This window comes from Homo sapiens, chromosome 17, assembly GCF_000001405.40.
Source record: "Homo sapiens chromosome 17, GRCh38.p14 Primary Assembly".
NCBI lineage: Eukaryota > Metazoa > Chordata > Mammalia > Primates > Hominidae > Homo > Homo sapiens.
In genome coordinates, this window is record NC_000017.11 from 72,788,696 (window position 1) to 72,811,586 (window position 22,891).

Genomic DNA, 22,891 nt, shown 5'->3' on the forward strand with positions numbered 1-22,891 from the left:
GACATGAGCCAATGGTATACATTTAAGAGGTGATGCTCTCCCAACTAAACCTAAGTCCTGGACAATACTAGAGGCAGGGGCCCCAACCCCAAAGGCTGGGATCAGATGCTGTGTATTAAGACTGGTCAGTGGAGAGTATGAGGCATGGATGGAGTAAAAGGAGGTGACTGTCAGAAACCATGCAACTGAAGCGTGACCACAGGTGACATGTACTGTGGCAAGGCCAGTGATTTCATTATAGCATGTTTTCTTTTGTCTGCATGAATGTTATGTTATGACCCTCATTTGAGCATCAGATTCTTAGAGGCCTTCATTTTTCTCCCAGTTACCAGAGAGGACAAAGGCTTTTTTTTTTTTTGAGATGGAGTCTCATTCCATCGCCAGATTGGAATGCAGTGGCGCAATCTCAGCTCACTGCAACCTCTGCCTCCCGGGTCCAAGCGATTCTCCTGCGTCAGCCTCCAGAGCAGCTGAGACTACACGCGCACGCCACCATGTCCGGCTAATTTCTGTGTTTTTAGCAGAGGCGGGGTTTCAACACGTTGGCCAGGCTGGTCTCAAACTCCTGACCTCGTGATCCGCCCGCCTAGGCCTCCCAAAGGCTTTGACTGCAGTGTAATATTTACCCTGTGGCCAAACAATCTCGATATATTTGTTAACTTAGCACATGCACTGTGACGTGCTATCATGGAGAAGAACAATGGAGGCCACCTCAAAATTCAAGTCAAAGAAGTACTTGTTAGGGCAAAGGGCACACGAAATGAAGAATGGTTTTGTAATTGGCTGTGAAAGCAGGTAAACTGTCGCCCAGGTAAGAACCATCCCTGGGAACAGGCCTATAACTCGGAAGATAATAGCCACAGCTCTGATTCCACCCTTCAGTTCACTTCAGCAAACACTTATTGGTCACCCACTGTGCAGGGCAGGCTGATATTTGGAAACATAGAACAACAACCTGATTAAAGGCCACACTTCCTCTGAAGCCTCTGAATTAGTTATAAGAAAGAACCTTTTCATTATGAGGGTTCTTTATTATATAGAACCTCGTTCCCTGGGGCGGATGAAATCCAGGCATCAATATCCAGGCCGAGAGTCAGGCCTTACTGAAGATAGGAGAAAGATCTGTGGGTACGTATGGGTGTCCTGCCATCTGAATGAATAATTCAGGAACATGGCCCAATTTCACCTTCCATGTCTGGTCTGGCAAACGTGGAGATGCTTGGGCAGGGAATTTAACTGGGTTTTTCTGACTTCTCGTGGAGTGCCAAAGATTGAGCTGAGGGAAATCAGGGATGCCAGAATGCTATGAAAGCTCAAATCCACTCAATCCTGCAGGATTCAAAGACATGAAGTAGCAGCACTGTATGCAAGGGAGGCTACTTATCTGCTGCCACATTATAGGGGAGCTGAGGATAACAAGCCGGGTGGGCAGATTATCCATTTATTTTTGTCTTTCGAAAGACTAGCATAGGGGGCATCATTTAGTGTTCAATTTCCTGTGTCCTCAGGAGAGCACACTGGTACACACCCCCAGCCAGGCTGGGGGGTCATCCCAGGGGGTTTCTGGTTGTGAGAAAGAATCCATCCTGGTTGCCCACAAACAAACATGTGAAATACAAACCATGTGACCTGGATAAACAGAACATGGTGAGGAAGTAGGCAGTGCTCATCTGAACAACAAAACCGCACCCTTCTGGAATACAAAGACACCAGATGGTGGTTTTCTCTGGCCAGGATATTCTTCACACCATGGACAGACCTGAAGCGCTGCTTCTCCAAGGAATGAGAAGATAAGAGAATCCATCTTTCAAAGAAAACAATGAATTTCTCTCTCTCTCTCTCTTTTTTTTTTTTGAGACAGAGCCTTGCTTTGTCGCCCAGGCTGGAGTGCAGTGGTACGATCATGGCTCACTGCAACCTCTGCCTCCTGGGTTCAAGCGATTCTCCTGCCTCAGCCTCCTGAGTAGCTGGGATTACAGGCATGTGCCACCACACCCAGCTAATTTTTGTATTTTTTAGTAGAGATGGGGTCTCACCACGTTGGCCAGGCTGGTCTCAAACTCTTGACCTCAAGTGATCCGCCTGCCTCGGCCTCCCAAAGTGCTGGGATTACAGGTGTAAGCCACCACACCCAGCCAAAAACAATGAATTTCTTGAATTTGCATCACATTTACATGTACAGTTAGTGGGACCCTGAGCAGAAGGAAGAAGGAAAGCTTCAAGGCAAATGGTGAGGCCAATCCATGTAGCAACTTAGCCACGTTGAAGACAAATCCCCAGCTCCCTCACCTGCAGATATTTACACGAATCCAGTGGTTCTCAAAGTGGAGGCCTCAGATCAGCAGCATCGGCATTGCCTAGAGACTTAGAAATACTAATTCTCAGGTCCCATTTCAGACCTACTAAATTAGACATTCTCAGGGTGGGACACAGCAAAGTTCTCCAGGTGATTCTGATGCATGTTAAGTTTGAGAACCGGCTGGGCACAGTGGCTCATGCCTGGATTCCCAACACTTCGGGAGGCCGAGGTGGGCAGATTGCTTGAGGTTGGGAGTTTGAGACCAGCCTGGCCAACATGGTAAAACCCTGTCTCTACAAAAATACAAAAATTAGCCGAGCGTGGTGGTGCACACCATGTCCCAGCTACTCAGGAGGCTGAGGCAGGAGAATCGCTTGAACCTGGGAGGCAGAGATTGCAGTGAGCTGAGATAGTGTCACTGCACTCCAGACTGGGTGACAGAAAGAAACTCTGTCTCAAAACAAACAAACAAAGGAAAAAGTTTGACAGCCACTGCACTAAGACAAAAATAGCAAATTGCAATCACAAATACTTCCACAGTGCTTCCTGTGTGTAGGCACTGTTTTAAGTCTTTATAGACATTATTTCATTCAATGCTCATGGCAAACCTGTGATAAAGGTACTGATATAGTGTGGCTCTGTGTCCCCACCCAAATCTCATCTTGAATTGTAATCCCCATGTGTTGGGGGAGGGAGCTCGTGAGAGGTGATTAGATCATGGAGACAGTCCCCCCATGCTGTTCTCATGATAGCAAGTGAGTTCTCACAAGATCTGATGGTTTTATAAGGGGCTTTTCGCCCTTTTGCTCGGCACTTCTCTCTCCTGCTGCCATGCGAAGAAGGACATGTTGGCTTCCCCTTCCACCATGATTGTAAGTTTCCTGAGGCCTCCCCAACCCTGCAGATCTGTGAGTCAGTTAAACCTCTTTCCTTTATAAATTACCCAGTCTCGGGCAGTTCTTTATAGTGGCATGAGAATGGATTAACACATGTAGTATGATAACTTCTCATTTCTCAGAGAAGAAAATCGAGGCACAGAGGGTTAGGTCATTTTCACAAGTTGTTCTGACCCCCTTTAGTCACTGCAGTGGTGAGGGAGACATCCCTCACCTTAAATAGTATGAAAATAGTGTGAGACAGCTGAACATATGACAAGCAATGCTGCACAGACTAGTGACATAACTCAGAAGAGGAGAACATCGCAGGCCATGTGGGGCCACTCAAAGGTTGCACACAGTGAACCAGAAGGGGCTGTGCAAGGCAGGTTCTGTAGTGACAAGAGGGTGAGGTGACCCTTAGTTCCCGCAGGAGGATGTGGCTGGCTTGTTTGAAGAATTCTGCTGGCAGGCAGTGAGGTAGAACCCAGAAAGTTGAGGACTGGGCTGGGTGCAGTTGGTCTGGTTGATGTGGAACTACCTAGGTGGGGAGCCTTTCCTACTGGGTGGGAAGAAATCTAGCCAGAGCCAGGGAACTCGCAGCTAAGTCTTTGAGGTTTTGTGAGGCTCCAAGGTGTCAAGGAAGCACATGAAATTTCAGGCCTTAGAAAGTATGAGAGAGGAGGTGATAGAGCTAGCATTTGAACCCAAGCTCCTGTGCTCCAGAGTCCACGCTCTAGTTTTAAATCACAGTTCTATCCTGTCTCCCACTGTCTTTAATCAAGGCACACTGCACACCTCTGTAAGAACTGCCATGATCCCTCCTGGGTCAATATGCAGGCCAGGTCGCGGAGGCTGTGGGAGGTTAAGGTCAGGGGTCTTCCCCCACTGACTTAAATGCTCCTTTATATGGGGGTTGCATCTCCTTCACCAGCTCCTCCACACACCCCACTGGAAATTAATAAGGACATAAACACTGCCCATTGTGCGCAGCATGCACAAACACATTCATTCACTAGCATATGGCACTGACTCTTTTTGCAGAGACTATGTTAGGACCAGACACACAAAGATAACATCAAAACAAGGCTCAGGATGCTCCCTACTGCCGGCGGGGTGGGGGCGAGGGACAAAAATACAAACAGAGCATTTCGGGCAAATTACAAAAGGCTTTATATTCATTCCCAAGGTGTTTGGACTGCATCCTGGAGGCTCTGGTCAGTCAACAGAGGCCTGTAAGTCAGGGAGTGAGGAGCAGATTTGCCATTTTAGGAAGATAATTCTGGGGGATGGTGTGGGAAAAGCTAGAATGAGGATGGGCTTATGGCAAAGCACCAGACAAAGGCTATTGTACACCCTGAGACAGAGAAGCAGGATGATCAAAGAAGAGAGGCAGGGTCACAGATTCCCAGGGTGCCATGCAACAAGGGTGACAGACAGGTTTTGGCTGGCACATCTTAAGTCCTAGAGCTGAGAAAGCATTCTCCAGTTAGCCACAGACCCCACCCCTCCCTACTGTCTTTTATTAGCTGACTTGCTGTGTTTACATGAATTGCCTGGTACCCTAAGGTGTTTATGTTTGAAAGGGAGAGATTTTCTTTCTTTCATACAATGTATAACATGTGATGGCAGATTGGATTGCGTGGAATAGAGAAATAGACAGGGAGGAAAAGGACTAAGGGTACCAGATTTCTAGCTTTTAAGAGGGAAATGCTTCTTTTTTTAATTTTTTTTTAAAAACACAGAGATGGGGTCTCGCTATGTTACCCAGGCTGGTCTCAAACTCCTGGCCTCAAGCAATATTCCTGCCTCAGCCTCCCAAAGTGTTGGGATTACAGGCGTGAGCTGCCACACCCAGTCTGGAAAATGCCTCTTGATGTGCACATCGTTCTATCTGAATTAATGGAATACAGTGCCCAGAAAGGAAATGAATAACAATGATCAACAAATTCTGCTTCTCTAAGATTAAGGCTAGGGGAGTGTACCTTGGCAGTTGCAGAACCTGACTCCTGTATCCTTTCTCCCCCTTCACAGCAAGGCTGGGTTACAAATGACACAGCTGATACCACACCGGCCAGTATACAGAGAAGAACAAAGAGTCTTCAGGTTGAAAGAAAGCTTGAGGGACCCATAGTCCTGCCTCTAACTGTAATAACAGCCTTCAAAATCTAGGCCATTGTTAGCATCAGGCTCTGCCTGAGGTTTGTGGCATTCTCCTGAGAGAAGCTTTACCCATCCTGAGAAAATGAGATTTTGCACCTTGGAGCTGATGGGAACGCCTGGGAACAGTCACTGTACACAGCTCACAATGGGTCCCAGCACCTGCTCTCACCTAGAAAGGAAATTCAGAAGCTCCTGCTCATCACCATCACACAGTCCATGAGTACAAATCACCCATCATAAGAAAGGAGCTTGCTGGAGAAAAGGCAGCAAAGCCTTGGAGAATACAGCAGAGGCAACCAGCCCCCACCAAGCCAGCGAGCGCGGTGAGGACTCACACTGACTCCACAATCCTTCTGTTGGGTCCCAGCCAATCATTTTTCTAATTGAGTGAGAAAATCTGATAATATTGTTCCCCTGACTGAAGCCTTCGTTTCTTCTCATCACTCTAAAGATGAAGTGCAAAGTGCTTATCATGGTCCCCAAGGCCCCGGTGTCCTGTCCTCTGCCTATATCCCCAGCTGTGTCCAAGCCACTCCCTGCTCCCTCCTTCTCTACACTCAAACTGTCCAGTCCTCCCTTCTTTTCCTGCATCTCATTAGCACCTTACTTGTGCAGGGCTTTGTGTGTGCTATGCCCTTAGCCTGGGACACTCGCCTCCCTCTTCCCATCTCTTCACCTGGCCAATTTATTCTCTTCCTTCAAGTCCCAGGGTGACTTTCATTTCCTCCAGCAAGTGCCTCCTCTCTGCCCCTCTGAATTAATTATCTTTTGCTGTATAACAAGGTACCCAACATTTAGCAGCTCAAAACAACACACATTGACTATCTCACACTGTTTCTGTGGGTCAGGGATGGGGAAAGAAAGGCACAAGACCTGTCAACATCCACGACATTAGCATCCACACTGGATATGAGGGATGAATGCCACCAGAATTCTGAGGGCAGAGGACCTCCGACTGTGAAAGAAGATTCTATCCACAGTCAAGTTATCAGCCCAAAGTGAAGTTATGATAACATTTTCAGGTACGCAGAGTATCAAATAATTTATCTCCCTCATGCCCTGTATTAACAATCTACTGCTGTATAACATCTTCCCTGCAAATTTGGTGGCTCATACCAATAATCCTGTATGGTCTCAGTCTCTGAGACTCAGAATCCAGGAGGGGCTTAGCTGGATGGCCCTGGCTCGGGGTCTGTCATGAGGCTTCAGTCATGACAGTAGCCTGGGCTGTTGTCATCAGAAGGCTTGAGTGGGGCTGAAGGATCCACTTCCAAGCTCACCTGTGCAGCTGCTGGCTTGGAGTTTCAGTCCCTTGGCATCATAGGTTTGCCTTAAAGACACAGGGCTGCTGATAACATGGCAGCTGGCTTCCCACAGAGCAAGACATGACAGAGAAAGAGAGAGAGAGAGTGCAAGAGAGCAAGACAGTGATAGCACAACAGAGCAACCAAGATGGAAGCCACAGAGACTTCACTTGACCTCAACTCTAAGGTCGCACACCATCACTTTTGCTTTTTCCTATTTGTTAGAAGTGAACCACTGAGAAGTCTAGCACACACTGGAGAAGGAGAATTAGGCTCTATTGCTCTATTTCTTGAAGGGATGATATTAACAGATTTCTGGACATATTATTAAAACCACCCATCCTCCCAACAGAAGAGTTCAAAATTCCCTGTGAGGTGGCTCAGTGGTCATAGCACACCATGCCTCGGCTTCTTACTACTTGTCACAGAGGCAATTAACCAATTATGTGTGTAATCTGCAGGGTACTATCAGTCTCTCTTTCTAAATCCAAGGCTTCAGGAAGACAAGGACTATTATAAGCTATATCCCTGGTGAATAGCACACCATTTGGTATGTAACAGGGGCTCAAGAGATATTTATTGGATGAATAAGCAAATGAGCAAATAACAAATGAAAGAGGGAAGAATACTGGGGGGAGAAGAAATAGTATATAGAAAATGACTACAACAAAGAGGTCAAAATTGCAAGAATTTTTATACAGTGCAATGCTAAGATAATGAAATACAAATTCAGAGCAGCAGGCCAACCAGCCTCCATTTGCTAGGACTGCAGCTCACATACTCTGAGTTATGAGGATGAAGCCCTGGGCTGAGCCTCAGGCAGCAGGAAACTCCTTAGACTGGCTCAGCAGGCTGCTGGTAAAACAGAAAACCTATTTTCCAACACACGAGACAGAAGAGCCGGGAAGTCACATCTCCTTTATCAAGCGAGGCTTCTCTCATCGTCCTCTTGGTAGCGACAGGCTTCAAATCCACACACTCCCATCAACAGCACCCAGGGAAGCCAGCCAGTAGGTTTTTCCTGGCTTCTGCTGGTGGGGTCACTCTATATGCATGAGAAGGAGGGCTTTTTGCTGCGCTCCTATTCCCAAGACCACTGCTACAGATTCTTGGAAATACACCCTCCCCGTGGAGCTGGGCTTCCAGGATCAACCACACAGCAGTCTGAGCTTGGCCCCTGCAGGCACAGCCCAGGGCATGCCAGGTGAGGGGAAGGGCGAGTGGCAAAGGAGAACAGAGGGGAAAGGGAAGACAGAATCATGAGCAGAAAGCACGTTTCAACAGGCAGCTGAAAAAACGAGACCTAGGCCCTGGAGGGGGCACGCTGTGCCCAGAGCAAACCACACACACACAAATCCAGCAGCATCACCACCTCAAATTCGATGCTGACTTAGCACTGACTAAGTGCAATTCTCCCACCTCAGCCTCCTGAGTAGCTGGGATTACAGGCACCCACCACCACGCAGGGGTTTCACTGACATGCTCGATACTGTGAAGTGCTAAGTATGCAAGAAGATGTGACAACCCAGCCCTGATTTTCAAAGTTACCTGTGGGCATAACACACAGACGAAATGATGACCGAGAATGCAATACAAGGTGGCAAGTGCCAAAGAAGTGATGTGTACAGCATGTGTCAGAAGGGAGCTGTCCCTAGGATGGGGCCGTCCCTGAACTTTCCTGAGGGAGTCAGAGCTTGAACTTCGTGATTCCTGCAACAGTGTTGTAGCTTGAAAGTGCCTGTGTGTGAGGAGCGTGTATCTCACACATTGTTCCATGTTCAATGTGCCTAATACAAAACAAGAATCTACCTACAAGGGGTTTACCATCTTGCTGAGGATGTAAGACTTGTGCACAAATACCCGCCATCCAAAGCAGCTCAAGAGGCTATGCTAGTGTTAATAATAATAAATAATAGTAGCCATGTCCCTGAGGAATGCCAACCCATCTATTCTACTGCTGGAGGCAATACGGAGCCTCTGCAGGGCTCAGTGTCCACATCTGTGAAATGGGGTTGTAGGAACACTGACTAAGATAAGGAATAGAGTAACTACTGGCAGGTAAAGGCACTTGAGTGTCTCTCCTTCCTCCTCCTTCCATCTTCCATGAAGATGATCAGGCAAGAAGAAGGTAGCATTAGATGAGGGCTAATTTAAAAGATGGGGTACTGGCAAGGAAAGGCTCTATTTGCTTGGGGGAATAATGGAAGACAGGGCCAAGTAAAGGGTTGAGGAGGGCGAATTGACTGTGGTGCACACATTCTAATACCAGCAGCCTCATCTACCAAGCCAGGCACTTGACATGCACTACCTCGTCTAATACCCCACTAACTCACGGGATGCACACCATCGTGGCCCGGCTCTGCAGAGGATGGAGCTGAAGTTTAGGGATATCAAGTGTCCAATCTAAGCTCGCAGGTGGCACAGCCAGAACCTGGACCCAGATCCTTTATTCCAATGTGCTCATAACCACTTCCTAATGCTGCCTCTGGGGGATGCTTCGTGCTGGGGGGCACTGACCCATGAGGCTGAAGGGGAAGTCTAGAAGAAGGAGTTTGCATCTAGCATCTGGCAGCCTAGGAGTACATTTCCTATCACCCAGGGAGGCTATGTCTTGCTCTTGGTTTCTCTCTCATGCACTCATGGGAGTGACGAGAAAAGGAGAAAGGACAGACGTGACCACAGACTTAGTGAGTGCAGATGTTGGAAGGAGAGGGCTGGAATCATGCTGAGCCTTCCCGTTTGGGCACGTGGAGATGGGTGTATCACTAGGAGAAGTAGGGTTACTGGTGGGGAGGAGAGGAGGCAACTTCAGGTTATGTGTGTTGAGTGTGAAATGCCCCAGTATATTGAAATGTGTCTTAGTCTGCTCACGCTGTTATAACAAAGTACCACAGACGGAGGGGCTTAAATGACAGAAATGTGTAGAGCGGTTCTGGAGGCTGGAAGTCTGAGCTCAGTGTGCCAGCATGGTCATGTTCTTGGTGAGTAATCTTCAGGCTTGCAAAGAGCCACCTTCCACTGTGTCCTCACATGGTGAACAGAGAGAGAGACTGAGCTCTGGTCTCTTCCACTTCTTTCTTTCTTTTTTTTTTTTTGAGATGGAGCCTCACTCTGTTGCCCAGTCTGAAGTGCAATGGCACGATCTCAGCTCTCTGCAACCTCTGCCTTCCAGGTTCATGCAATTCTCCGACCTCAGCCTCCCGAGTAGCTGGGATTACAGGCACCCACCACCATGCAGGGGTTTCACCACGTTGGTCAGGCTGGTCTCGAAATTCTGACCTCAGGTGATCCACCCACCTTGGTCTCCCAAAGTGCTGGGATTACAGGCATGAACCACCACACCCAGCCTGTCCCACTTCTTATAAGAACACTAATCTCACCAAGGGGGCCCCACCCTCCTCACCTCATCTAAACCTAATCACCTCCCAAAGGCCCCTTCTCCAAATACCATCACACTGGGGGCTAAGGCTTCACAATATGAATGGGTGAGGGACACAAGCATTCAGTCCAGAGCAAACTGTCAGCATCTAGCTGGGGGAGGAAAATCATGAGTGGCATCTTTGGGAAGGAAGGCAGGCCCAGATGTAGAGAATTGAGAAGAGAGCTGAAAATCTGAGAGGGCACAAGAAGGCCAAAGATAGGGAGAAGAAGAGGACCATGGGTTGGTGGAGGAGGGGAGAGGAGCTGGCAAGGTTTTGACTTGTGCACTTGGACGTGAGTGTGTGTGTCTGTGAGTGTGCACATGTATGGTTGCATGCATGTCTGTTGCAGGAAGTCAGGGACCCCAAACGGAGGGACCAGCTGGAGCTGTGGCAGAGGAACATAAATTGTGAAGATTTCATGGGCATTTATCAGTTCCCAAATAATACTTTTATAATTTCTTATGCCTGTCTTGTCTTTAATCTCTTAATCCTGTTATCTTTGTAAGCTGAGGATGTATGTCACCTCGGGACCACTGTGATAATTGTGTTAACTGTACAAATTGATTGTAAAACATGTCTGTTTGAACAATATGAAATCAGGGCACCTTGAAAAAGAACAGAATAACAGCGATTTTTAGGGAACAAGGGAAGACAACCATAAGGTCTGACTGCCTGTGGGGTCGGGCAAAAAAAGCCATATTTTTCTTCTTGCAGAGAGCCTATAAACAGACGTGCAAGTAGGGAAGATATTGCTAAATTCTTTTCCTAGCAAGGAATATTAATATTAATACCCTGGGAAAGGAATGCATTCCTGGGGGGAGATCTATAAATGGCCACTCTGGGAGTGTCTGTCTTATGCAGTTGAGATAAGGACTGAGATACGCCCTGGTCTCCTGCAGTACCCTCAGGCTTACTAGGGTGGGGAAAAACTGCCCTGGTAAATTTGTGGTCAGACCGGTTCTCTGCTCTCGAACCCTGTTTTCTGTTGTTTAAGATGTTTATCAAGACAATATGTGCACCGCTGAACACAGACCCTTCTCGGTGGTTCTGTTTTTGCCCTTTGCCCTGTGATCTTTGTTGGACCCTTATCAGTGGTTCTGCTTTTTGTCCTTTGAAGCATGTGATCTTTGTACCTACTCTCTGTTCTTACACCCCCTCCCCTTTTGAAACCCTTAATAAAAACTTGCCGGTCTGAGACTCAGGCGGGCATCACGGTCCTACTGATATGTGATGTCACCCCCAGCAGCCCAGCTGTAAAATTCCTCTCTTTGTACTGTCTCTCTTTGTTTCTCAGCCGGCCGACACTTATGGAAAATAGAAAGAACATATGTTGAAATATTAGGGGCAGGTTCCCCCAATACATGTCTATGTGAGAGACAGCACAGACACATGCAAGAGGCAGGAGTGAGAGGACCTCCATCCCTGAGGCAGGAGGAATACCAAGGATACTTCAAAGTGGAAGCCATAGGTGGAGAGAGCTCCAGAAATGCAAAGAAGGTCCAAACTACATAAAATGCTCCACAAGGACCAGGAAACCTACAATAATTTTTTTTTTTTTTTTTTTTTTTTTGAGATGGAGTCTTGCCCTGTCGCCCAGGCTGGAGTGCAGTGGTGCAATCTCAGCTCACTGCAACCTCTGCCTCCCAGGTTCAAGCGATTCTCCTGCCTCAGCTTCCTGAGTAGCTGGGATTACAGGCACACACCACCACGCCCAGCTAATTTTTGTATTTTTAGTAGAGACGGGGTTTCGCCACGTTGGCCAGGCTGGTCTTGAACTCCTGACCTCAGGTGACCCACCCACCTCAGCCTCCCAAAGTGCTAGATTACAGTCATGAGCCATTGTGCCTGGCTGACTTAGAAGAATTTTAAAGCAGCCAAGAGACTTGGCGGCTGGGGGTCACTGGACACCTTCAGTAAAACCATTTTCTTTAAATGGCAGGGGACTAGAGGTTGTGGGTAAACTAAGGAGAGAGGCAGAGAGCGATGGCTCAAAAGGAAGCAGGGTGTTCGCAAATAGAGAATTGAGAGGGAGAAAACAGAGTTTGGGGAAGGGAAGATGCTCCAAGTCAGTTCTATTAATGAAATGGACTGCTTAGAATTTAGACAGAATGAAAAAGGTAGAAAAGTGAGGTACCATAATTATTAGTATATTTCTATCATGTCATTCAAATATGCTTAAAACTAATGTGCCATGCAATGGAATATTAATTGGCAACAAAAAGGGATGAAGTACTGATACATGCTACAACACAGGTACGTCTTGCTAACACTGGGCTAATTTAAAGAAGCCAGACACAAAAGCCCACAGACGACATGATTTTATTTATACGAAATGTCCAGAAGAGGCAGATCTAGAGAAACAGAAAGTAGATTAGTGGCTGCCTAGGGCTTGAGAGGGAATGGGGTTGGGGGATGCTGGCTAAGGGGTGCAGGATTTGTTTTGGAGGCAATGAAATATGCTTTTTCCTTTTCTTTTGTTTGAGACGGAGTCTCATTCTGTCATCCATGCTGGAGTGCAGGGCCACAATCTTGGCTCACTGCAACCTCTGCCTCCTGGGTTCAAGCAACTCTCCTGCCTCAGCCTCCTGAGTATCTGGGACTATAGGCATGTGCCATGACACCTGGCTAACTTTTGTATTTTTTGTTTTAGTAGAGACAGGGTTTCACCAGGTTGGCCAGGCTGGTCTTGAATTCCTGACCTCAAGTGATCCTCCCGCCTCAGCCTCCCAAATCGCTGGGATTTCAGGCATGAGCCACTGCGCCCAGCCGGGCAATGAAATATTCTTAAATTGACTGTAGTGATGGCTGCACAATTTTGAATATACTAAAAGCCATGGAATTGCACATTGTAAATGGTTGAACTGTATGGTATGTGAATTAAATCAACAAAGCTGTCTAAAAATTTACTATGTATATTGTCTTCAGGATGGCATTTTAAAAAAGAAAAATTTACTATGTATATCTATGAGTAACAAGGGATCTTTTAGGGTGATAAAAGTTCTATAATTGGATTATGGAAATATCTGCACAACTCTATAAATTTACTAAAAATCATAAAATCGTACATAAAAACTGGTAGATTTTATGGTATGTCAGTTATGCCTCAATAAAGTTGTTTAAAACAATAAAAAAACTTTAAAACTTTATGACACAGACAAAACACTCTATAATAGGGTTGCAGTACATTTAGACTAAAACAACTCAAAAATATACCGAGTCATCTGTCAAACGAGAATAACAGTTCCGTAGAATCACTGTGAAGATGGCACAAGGTAAGACATTCCCTGGCCTACAGAAGGTTCGATGCAGCGCAGCTCTGATTAAGGGGATTAAGGGAATGAATCCCACCATCTCTGAATCTGGCTTCCCTGTGTGATATCTCCGGGGTACGGCAAAGCCTGGGTAGGATGTGCACCCAGACACGTTTCTTGGCAATGAAATATCCCACAGCCCAGGAAGGAGGTGAGGGCAGATTGATTCCACTTCTTGTGGCCCAAGAGAAGGCCTGCAGGTCCCAGGGATGAACTTTGTCTTGAAAATCATATGGGTGGCCAGACACGGTAGTACATGCCTGTAATCCTAACACTTTGGGAGGCTGAGGCAGGTGGATCCCCTGAGGTCAGGAGTTTGAGACCAGCCTGACCAGCGTGGTGAAAACCCGTCTCTACTAAAAACACAAAAATTAGCTGGGCACGGTGGCGGGCGCCTGTAATCCCAGCTACTTGGGAGGCTGAGGCAGGAGAATTCCTTGAATCTAGGAGGCAGAGGTTGCAATGAGCTGAGATCACACCATCACATTCCAGCCTGGACCACAAGAGTGAAACTCCATCTCAAAAAAAAAAAAAAAGAAAAGAAAAGAAAAGAAAATCACATGGGTTAATTTGAGTGGGGAAGGGAAGGGAGGGAACGCAATACTAAGGGAGGCATGTGTATGGGGCGTGGTGGGGAATAGGGGCTGGAAAAGCCATTTGTAGTTGCTGGACAGTAGAGAGCCACTCACTGTAAACCAGTAGGTCTTTGTAGGTGCCCTCGAGGAAGCCAGGAGACAAAAAGAGGCTGCCCCTATCTGTCAGCTGGTTTTATTTCCAGAGCCCAGGGAATGTGTCAAAACTATGGAAAGTCCCCATCGCACACGACTGGGAGCCACCTTCAGGCTGGAAACGTCCATGGAGTCCCTCTGCCTGCTGGGGACAAGCCAGCTAGCCTGTCCTATTGGACCTTCAAGGGCAAGCATGCAGCCTTGTGATTCTTGGCCCTGTTAAACCCACCGTCCTTTCTATCAAACAAAAACGGAACGTCCTGCTTTCTTGTTTGTAGAATACAAAGACGGGATTTGGTTTCCCAAATAGAAGATTAAATCTCAATCCTCAGTGCGCTGCTTTAAACCCCATGGATGCGCGCCTCTGAGGCAACTGGGCCCCCTCGCCTCCTGCCCTTGTTGTGAATCTCCAGTGCAGCCCCATCCCTCTGGCGCTGCCAGGAAATGCTTACTGACTGCTGGGCCCGTGGTGCTGCCATAGGGCCACACACTTCATCCAGCCTGTAGCCAGCCAGGGGCTTGGTAAATGACCCCAAAGGCAGACTCTGCCGGCTGTGTCCCTGTCTCTACATAAAACAACGCACAAACCCATACCTTTCCCAGAATCTGCACGTGGTTCAAAGGCATGAAATGCCACACGCAGGAGGTACAAAGGACCTGCCTGAGGCCCAAACAGGTTACTCTAGGGAAAGTGGGGGAAGGCTGTGTGGACCATTGAGCTCTATGTAGTTATAGCATGCCTCTTCCCTCATGGCGTGAAGGATTTAAAGCCCCCAAAGAGAGGCTCCTTCCAGGGTTCTCCTTTCAAGCACTTCAAAATAGTCCCACTGAGAGATGACTCCGCTCCAGCCAGGTTCTCAGCTCCTGGAGGGCAGGTCACATTTGCTTTCTCTGACTTGCATCTCACATGTGGCACAGAGCAGACCCCCTTGATCAGTATTCGGCAGAATAAGGGACTAGTCTCCCTTCATCCCCTAGGCCTAATTCTCCCTGGATGGCCTTGAAGAGAAGCAGGTACATCCAGGTGAGGGCAGAATTCAGGTATTCTTGCTTCCGGGTCAGATGCTTTCCTATTAGCCCTCATCCGTCATATCCCACTCTTACCAACTTTCCACACAAGACAAACTCTTACACATGAATACCCTATGTTTATGCCAGAGCTGTTAAACCTGTTTCTACGTTTCTTTGTAAACACTATCTTTTTTGGGTGGGGGCGGGGTTGGAGTCTAGCTCTGTCGCTCAGGCTGGAGTGCACTGGCGTGATCTCCGCTCACTGCAAGCTCCGCCTCCTGGGTTCACGCCATTCTCCTGCCTCAGCCTCCCGAGTAGCTGGGACTACAGGCGCCCGCCACCACGTCTGGTTAATTTTTTTGTATTTTTAGTAGAGACGGGGTTTCACCATGTTAGCCAGGATGTAAACACTATCTTGATGCATTTTTATTCCAAGTCCCCATTTGAATGCAAAGTCCTAGGAATCTGGAACCACTGTTATCTCCCTGGCATCCCATAGGGAGTTCTGCCCAGTGGTCAATGTCCTAGAAAGCTCAGGTAGCACACAGCCAGAGGAGGATAGAAACCCTTGCTGGGAGCACACATCCCTCTTCCCTCCCACTCCCCACCCAAGTAGAGAGTATGTGGATAATTTAGAATCTAAAGTCGAGGGTTGGATATGATCTATTACAAAGATACCTAAGCAATTTAACTGTGCCTGTAAGATTATAAAAGGAAAGGTTAACCATGCAAGAAGACCATGTGCTTTCAAGCAACATACAAGCATTTGTTGATGAGTAAGGCAGAGTGGTATAGTAAGCGGGGCCTCAAACTGCAGTCAAGAAATCCGTTTCTGGTCCTGTCTCTGCCATGACCTAGCTGTGGCACCTCAGACCAGTCATCCAGTTTCTTGATCTGTAAAGTGGGCACATTGGGGTAAACTAAATAATCTCCCGGCCACGCAGTGGCTCACACCTGTAATCCCAGTGCTCTGGGAGGCCGAGGCAGCGGATCACGAGGTCAGGGGATCAAGACCATCCTGGCCAACATGGTGAAACCCCGTCTCTACTAAAAATACAAAAATCAGCCAGGCGTGGTGGCGTGCACCTTTAATCCCATTCGGGAGGCTGAGGCAGGAGAATCACTTGAACCCGGGAGGCGAAGGTTGCAGTGAGCCGAGATCATGCCACTGCACTCCAGCCTGGTGACAGAGCAAGACTCCATCTCACAAATAATAATAATAATAATCTCCCAAGTCCCCTTCCATCACTGAACATGACTATTCTATGACACATGGATGAAAAATTGTAAGGATAAATAAATACCAGGTCTGTTCTTATACCGCCCTCCTGTGTGTGTAAATATTTTGGTACTATTTAAAGAGGCATGTGGGTTGGTGGGGGCTCTGGATCTCTACCTTCTTTTGGTGACAGCATCCTGCTTTTCCTTGAGAAACCCCCTACTTCCATCCTATGTAATCCTGATGGAATTGTTGAACAAGCCTCCAGCCTCCCACCTCCAGGCAGAAGGAATAGTAGCTCAAGCTTGCCTACTCTCGACAACTGCCCCTGCTTGGAATGCATCCCAGGGCTCTCGGGAGGCTAAGCATGAGGGAGATTGATGGGTGAACTTGGGCTGCAGGAGACACCACTTGTTCAATCAGCAGACTTTGCACTTAGCATGTGGAACTGGCCACCTACAGTGCCCGATCTTCTGTGGCCAGATGTGCTGTCAAGGCAGATTTATACTCAGGAGTGCGGGAGGCCTGGTGGCGCTCCTTCCCGCCCTGGATCAGTGAGACACAGCCTCCAGTTTCTGCTTCCTTCCGTCCATGGGCTTGGATTTGTATCTTACCTGATCAATTCTTGTCAGGAATGTCAGACCAGCTGTGAGGTCCTCCTGAGTGCAAACAGTGACAGCCAGGAGATGTGGCTCAGAGTTAATTTTTTTTTCTTTTTCTTTTTCTTTTTTTTTTTTCTGAGATGGAGTCTTGCTCTGTTACCCAGGCTGGAGTGTAGTGGGGCGATCCTGGCTCACTGCAACCTCCGCCTCCTGGGTTCAAGCAATTCTCCTGCCTCAGTCTCCTAAGTATCTGGGACTACAGGCACCTGCCACCATGCCCAGCTAATTTTTTTTTGTATTATAGTAGAGACAGGATTTTGCCAGGTTGGCCAGGCTGGTCTTGAACTCCTGACCTCATGCTATCCACCTGCCTTGGCCTCCTAAAATTACTGGGATTACACGTGTGAGCCACCGCACCTGGTGGCTTACAGTTAATTTGCAACCAACCTGACTTTAAAGCTGGGAAACGAAGAGAGACCTGTTCCAGTTATAATTAGAGATCCTTTTGGACTAGTGAAGGCAGAAGGGTGTTTACAGGATCTTGTTATCTTCTTTCTTGGTTTATCCTGGCCGCCCCCTCAGCCGTTACTTTTCCTAGCCAATCTTCAACTGCTTCCTAAGGAAGGGTACAAGTCTGAAAACATCTTTATTCTATGAATCATCATTGAGTGAATGTGAGTATAGAAAATTCTAGGTTTAATATTATTTTTCCTCAGAACTTTGAAAGCTTGAAGCTTGGGAAATTAAAAGCCTTGTTTATTGCTGGGGAGACCTTTGAAGCACTTCTGCCAAACTATTTCCCCCTTTCTGGAAGCTCTAACGATAGCATTCTACAATTTCATGCTGATGTATCTTGGCAACGGTCCCTTTTTTATATAGTGGGCTGGCACTTAGGGGGCCTTCCCACTCTTGAAAATTCAGGTACTTCAGTTTGGGAAAGTTTTTATTGTATCACTTTTGCACTTTTTTTTGAGACTGAGTCCCTCTTTGTCGCCCAGACTGGAGTAGAGTGGTGCGATCTTGGCTCACTGCAACCTCCGCCTCCCAAGTTCAAGTGATTCTCCCGCCTCAGCCTCCTGAGTAGCTGGGATTACAGGCGCCCGTCACCATGCCGGGCTAATTTCTGTATTTTTAGTAGAGACGGGGTTGTGCCATGTTGGCCAGGCTGGACTCGAACTCCTGACCTCAGGTGATCTGCCTGCCTTGGCCTCCCAAAGTGCTGGGATTACAGGCGTGAGCCACCGTGCTCAGCCTCACTTTTGTGCTTTTTAAGCTCCATTTTCTCTTTCTTTCTGGAATGCTGACGAGTCACCAGTAGATCCTACTGGATTCATATTCTCATTTCCTTACCTTCTTTTCTCACATTTTGCATCTACATGTCTTTTATTCTATTTTTAAGAGATTTCCTCAACTTCATCTTTTCATCCTTCTACTGTTTTATTCTAGCTATCTTGTTTTTGATTTCCAAGAGCTCCTTCTTAATCTAATTGTGCCTTTTCATTATTGATAGCATCCTCTTCTTCTCCCTCTGAGGATATTCATCATTTTCATTGTTGCTTTTGTTTTATGTTTCCTTGTGACCTCTGCATTGTTTCTGTTATCTCCAAATTAATTTTTCTGTCTTTATCTTTCATACCGAAGGCATGCCTCAAAAGTCTAAGGAATTAGAGCTATCCAGTTGTGGTATAATACAAAACATATTTTGTCTTTGTGTCTGGTGGCACAGAGCTTCCCAAACTCCTGGAATTAACTAAGGAATAGGAGTGTCTTTGTTTATTCATAATGAGCCCCTTTTGTTAACACCCGAGTTTATGCTAATAAGGTGACTAACTTGAGGTAGGCCCCTAGATAGTCTCAGGGTGGGCTGGTCACGGTCACCAGAAAGACCAAGTGATTAGAAGGCTAGAATTATCAACCCCACCCACTGACCTCCTAGAGGGGATTCGAAGGAGGCTGGATATTAAGCCGTCTAAAAACTCAACAAGAAGATATGATGAGTTTCCAGGTTGGTGAACACACGGAGGTGCTTGGAAGGGCAGTGGGCCTGGAGAGGAAATGGAAGCTCCATGCCTCTTTCCCTATAACTGCCCAATGCATCTCTTCCATCTGGCTGTTCCTGAGTTGTATCCTTTTAGGATAAAGTGGTAATTTTGCAAGTAGATGGTTTTCTTGAGTTCTGTGAGCCATTCTAGGAAATAACTGAACCCGACGAGGGGGTCGTGGGAACCCCTGATCTACAGCCAGATGGTGAGAAGCCCAGCTGACAACCTAGATTGGTGTTTAGCATCTGAAGTAAGGGATCTGAGCCCTTAGCCTGTGGGATCTGACACGATCTCCAGGTGGATACTGTCAGAATTGAGTTAAATTGTAAGGCACCAAATTGGTGCTCTCAGAAAACTAGAGAATTGGTTGTTACAGGAAAAAAAAAAAATACCCACATCTTTGCTGGCCATAAGTTCTGTGTGTGAGTGTTGGGAAAACAGGAGTTTCTCTTATCACTGGTCATATTTAATTGCAAAGCATTAAGAAATGGACCAGAGGCTCATATGCATAGAAGGGGCCTGTTGGGTGGGGAACTACCATCTAGGGGGATTGGGCCTCCAGTCATCTTTTTGGTAGGTGGACCTCCAAATATCAATGTTTTGAAACTGCCTTTGCAAAGAATATGACAGGAAGAGAAGCTTGACATGGCAGACTCCATCTTGGCTTCTAGCCCTGCAGGTGGGCTGCCCTCGCTCATTCTTAGGTGCAGGCAAGGAATTTAGTTTATGGTTTAACTTTAAAGCAAGGATGATAATAGTCCCTCCCTAAAACTGATCCCCTTCCTGTTCAGGGACTGAAACTGGCTTTGTAAGACTAAGTGCAGACTACAAGATTAGGATTACGGGAGGGGCCTGAATTCTGCTAAAATGTAGGTATAGCTAAATGACAGCCAGCAAATGTCCACTAGCTTGTTTTTCTATAATCCCTTGCTGCTCAGGAGTCGTGTGGCCAGAGGTCACAAGATTTGTGATTTCTGCAATTGCTCCTATAGATAACACTATACATCACTATTGTAGAACCTAAGATTGGTCTTTTGAGATGTTTTTCAGACTTTTGCATTCTGGCACCTGACTGACCCCACCTGGATCTGTGATTCCTAAGCAATCCTGTCCTGTGGCTCCCACCCAGAGTCGGACTCAGCACATGAGGACTCTTCCACACCTCTATGATTTCATCCCCAACCAATCAGCAGCATGCATTCCCAAGCCCCCTGCCCAACAAATTATCCATAAAAATCCTAGCCTTTAACTTCTGAGGGAGGCAGATTTGAGTAATAAACTGTCTTCTCTTTCCACTTGGCTGTCCTTATGTTAATTAAACTCTTTCTCTACTGAAACAACATTATCTCAGTGGATTGGATTTATCTGTGCTGTGGGCAAGAAGAACATGTTGGGTGGTTACAGTTTGGAGATTATTTCTCTAAGATCCTGCAGCAGAGTCCAGCAGTCTTTTCCTCTCTTCCCCGGAGGATATAATCTTGGTTTCACTATTCCCAATTTCGGCTTAGATCATCTTCTTTCTTTTCTTTCTCTCTCTCTCTCTCTCTCTCTCTCTCTTTCTTTCTGCCCTCTCAGGCCCACCTTCTCCTGGGATTCACTTTCTCCAGATACCTCTCTTGGTTCATTTATCTGGATAACAAATTTTTCTCCTGCCGTGGTACAGGAGCGGCAATTGTTCTGTTATTTGGTGTGGGATGAGCTCTAAGGATTCCTGATACAGATCACAACCAACCATCCTGTTTGCGATCCCATCTCTACTCCAAGTTTGGAGCCTCAGGATCTCGACACTTCCTAGGGTTTATGCAGGACATTTCAGCTTGCTTCTTCGTGGCTTCCCTTTTGCAATCACCTGGACTCCATCTTTCTCTACTCTTTGTCCATTTCTGCATCCATGGTTCAAATATCTGAGGACCTCTCATCACTCATCACATCTTGGAGTAACAGTATGGCATTAAAAAGGTATGTCCAAAAGAGAGAGACTCTTACTTTCATTTTAACGGTATTTTAGGAAGCAGCAGAAATGCATGTGTTAAAATCTGCCACATTTAAACAAGGTCTGCTTAACTATCCCAAGCCTCAGATTTTGTTTGTTTGTTTGTTTAATTGAAAACGAAGAGTTTGGGCGTGGTGGCTCACACCTGTAATCCCAGCACTTTAGGAGGCTGAGGTGGGCAGATCACTTGAGGTCAGGAGTTTGAGACCAGCCTGGCCAACATGAAGAAACCTCGTCTCTACTAAAAATACAAAAACTAGCCAGGCGTGGGCACCTATAATCCCAGCTACTTGGGAGGCTGAGGCAGGAGAATTGCTTGAACCCAGGAGGCAGAAGTTGCAATAAGCTGAGATTATGCCACTGCACTCCAGCCTGGGTGAAAGAATGAGACTCTGTCTCAAAAACAAAAACAAAAACAACAAAAAAAAAAAAAAAGAAAAGAAAATGAAGAAAACTCTAGTAATAATAATACTTGAATACTCTCTTAAGAAAATATCTTTCCCCAATTCTCAAATAGTACTTACTGGTTTACCTATTAAAGCTTAACACATGCTTATGCTATGACCCAACAATTCTACCCCTAGGTACATATACAAGAAAAATGAGTGTGTGTTCATCAAAACACAAATACAAAACACTCATTGTGGTTTTTCTCCTAATAGCCCAAACTGGAAACACCCAAGCATCCATTCACAGAAGAATGGACAAATAGTAGCATATAAATACAATAGAATACTGCATAGTAAAAAACATGTAATCAACTATTGCAATGCACACAGACGAACCTCAGAGATGTCACATTAAGCAAAAGAAGCTGGCTACAGAACAGAATGTGCAGTATGATTCCATTTAAATGATATTCCAGAGCAGGTGGAACCTATCTATGGTAAAAAGAATTAGAATACTAATTATCTCTTAGAGGAAATTACTGCTTAGGAAGAGCTATCAGGAATGCTTCTGAGTTGCTAGGGTATTTTGTATCATGATCTCAATAGTGGTTATATGGGATATACATATGTAAAAATTCTTTTTTTTTTTTAAGACAAAGTCTCACTCTGTTGCCCAGGCTGGAGTGCAGTGGCATGATCTTGGCTCACTACAATCTCCACCTCCCAGTTTCAAGCGATTCTCCTGCCTCAGCCTCTTGAGTAGCTGGGATTATAGGTGCACACCACTACATCCGGCTAATTTTTGTATTTTTAGTAGAAAAAGAGTTTCACCATGTTGGCTGGGCTGGTCTCAAACCAGCCTGGTCTTGACCTCAGGTGATCTGCCTGCCTTGGCCTCCCAAAATGCTGGGATTACAGGCGTGAGCCACCATGCCTGGCCCGTAAAAATTCTTTAAGTTGTATATTTAAGATTTGTTTTACTGTATATATGTTAAAACTTGATTTGAATAAAAGCAAAAAAAAAAAAACATTGTTTAGACTGCTATAACAAAATACCTGAGCAGCTTACAAACAACAATTGTTTGTTTCTCACAGTTCTTGAGGCTGGGAAGTCCAAATTCATGGCACCAGCAGATTCATTGTCTGGGAGGGTGCATTTTCTGAGTGTCAGACTGCCAACTTCTTCCTGTATCCTCACATGGTAGAAAGGGTCAGGCAACTCTATGGGGCCTCTCTTTTAAGGGCACTAATCCAGTCTCTAGGGCCCCACCATTATGACCTAATTACCTCCTGACAGCCCCACCTCCTAACCATCACATTGGAAACTGGGTATTTTGGGGGTACAAACATTCAGGCCATGGCAATCACTGTTTATAATTTTAAAGCTTTGTGGAAAAATAGTTTTCCAGGGTAAAAGTTCTACCTAATCAGAAATCCACCTGGATCTCAGAAGGGAGAGGCTGGGCATCTTTGCCTGTCAGAGATGCAGTAACTGAGATGCTGTATCTAAAATGCATAGCTTAGTCTTTCTTC

The 22,891-nt window shown here is 46.3% G+C and overlaps 1 protein-coding gene across 27 annotated transcripts in view; it reads right to left on the minus strand.

Annotated features, from left to right (window-relative positions):
• The window catches only part of SLC39A11 (solute carrier family 39 member 11), a 446,740-nt gene that overhangs the window by 142,747 nt on the left and 281,102 nt on the right, over nt 1-22,891 (minus strand). The window lies entirely within an intron of this gene.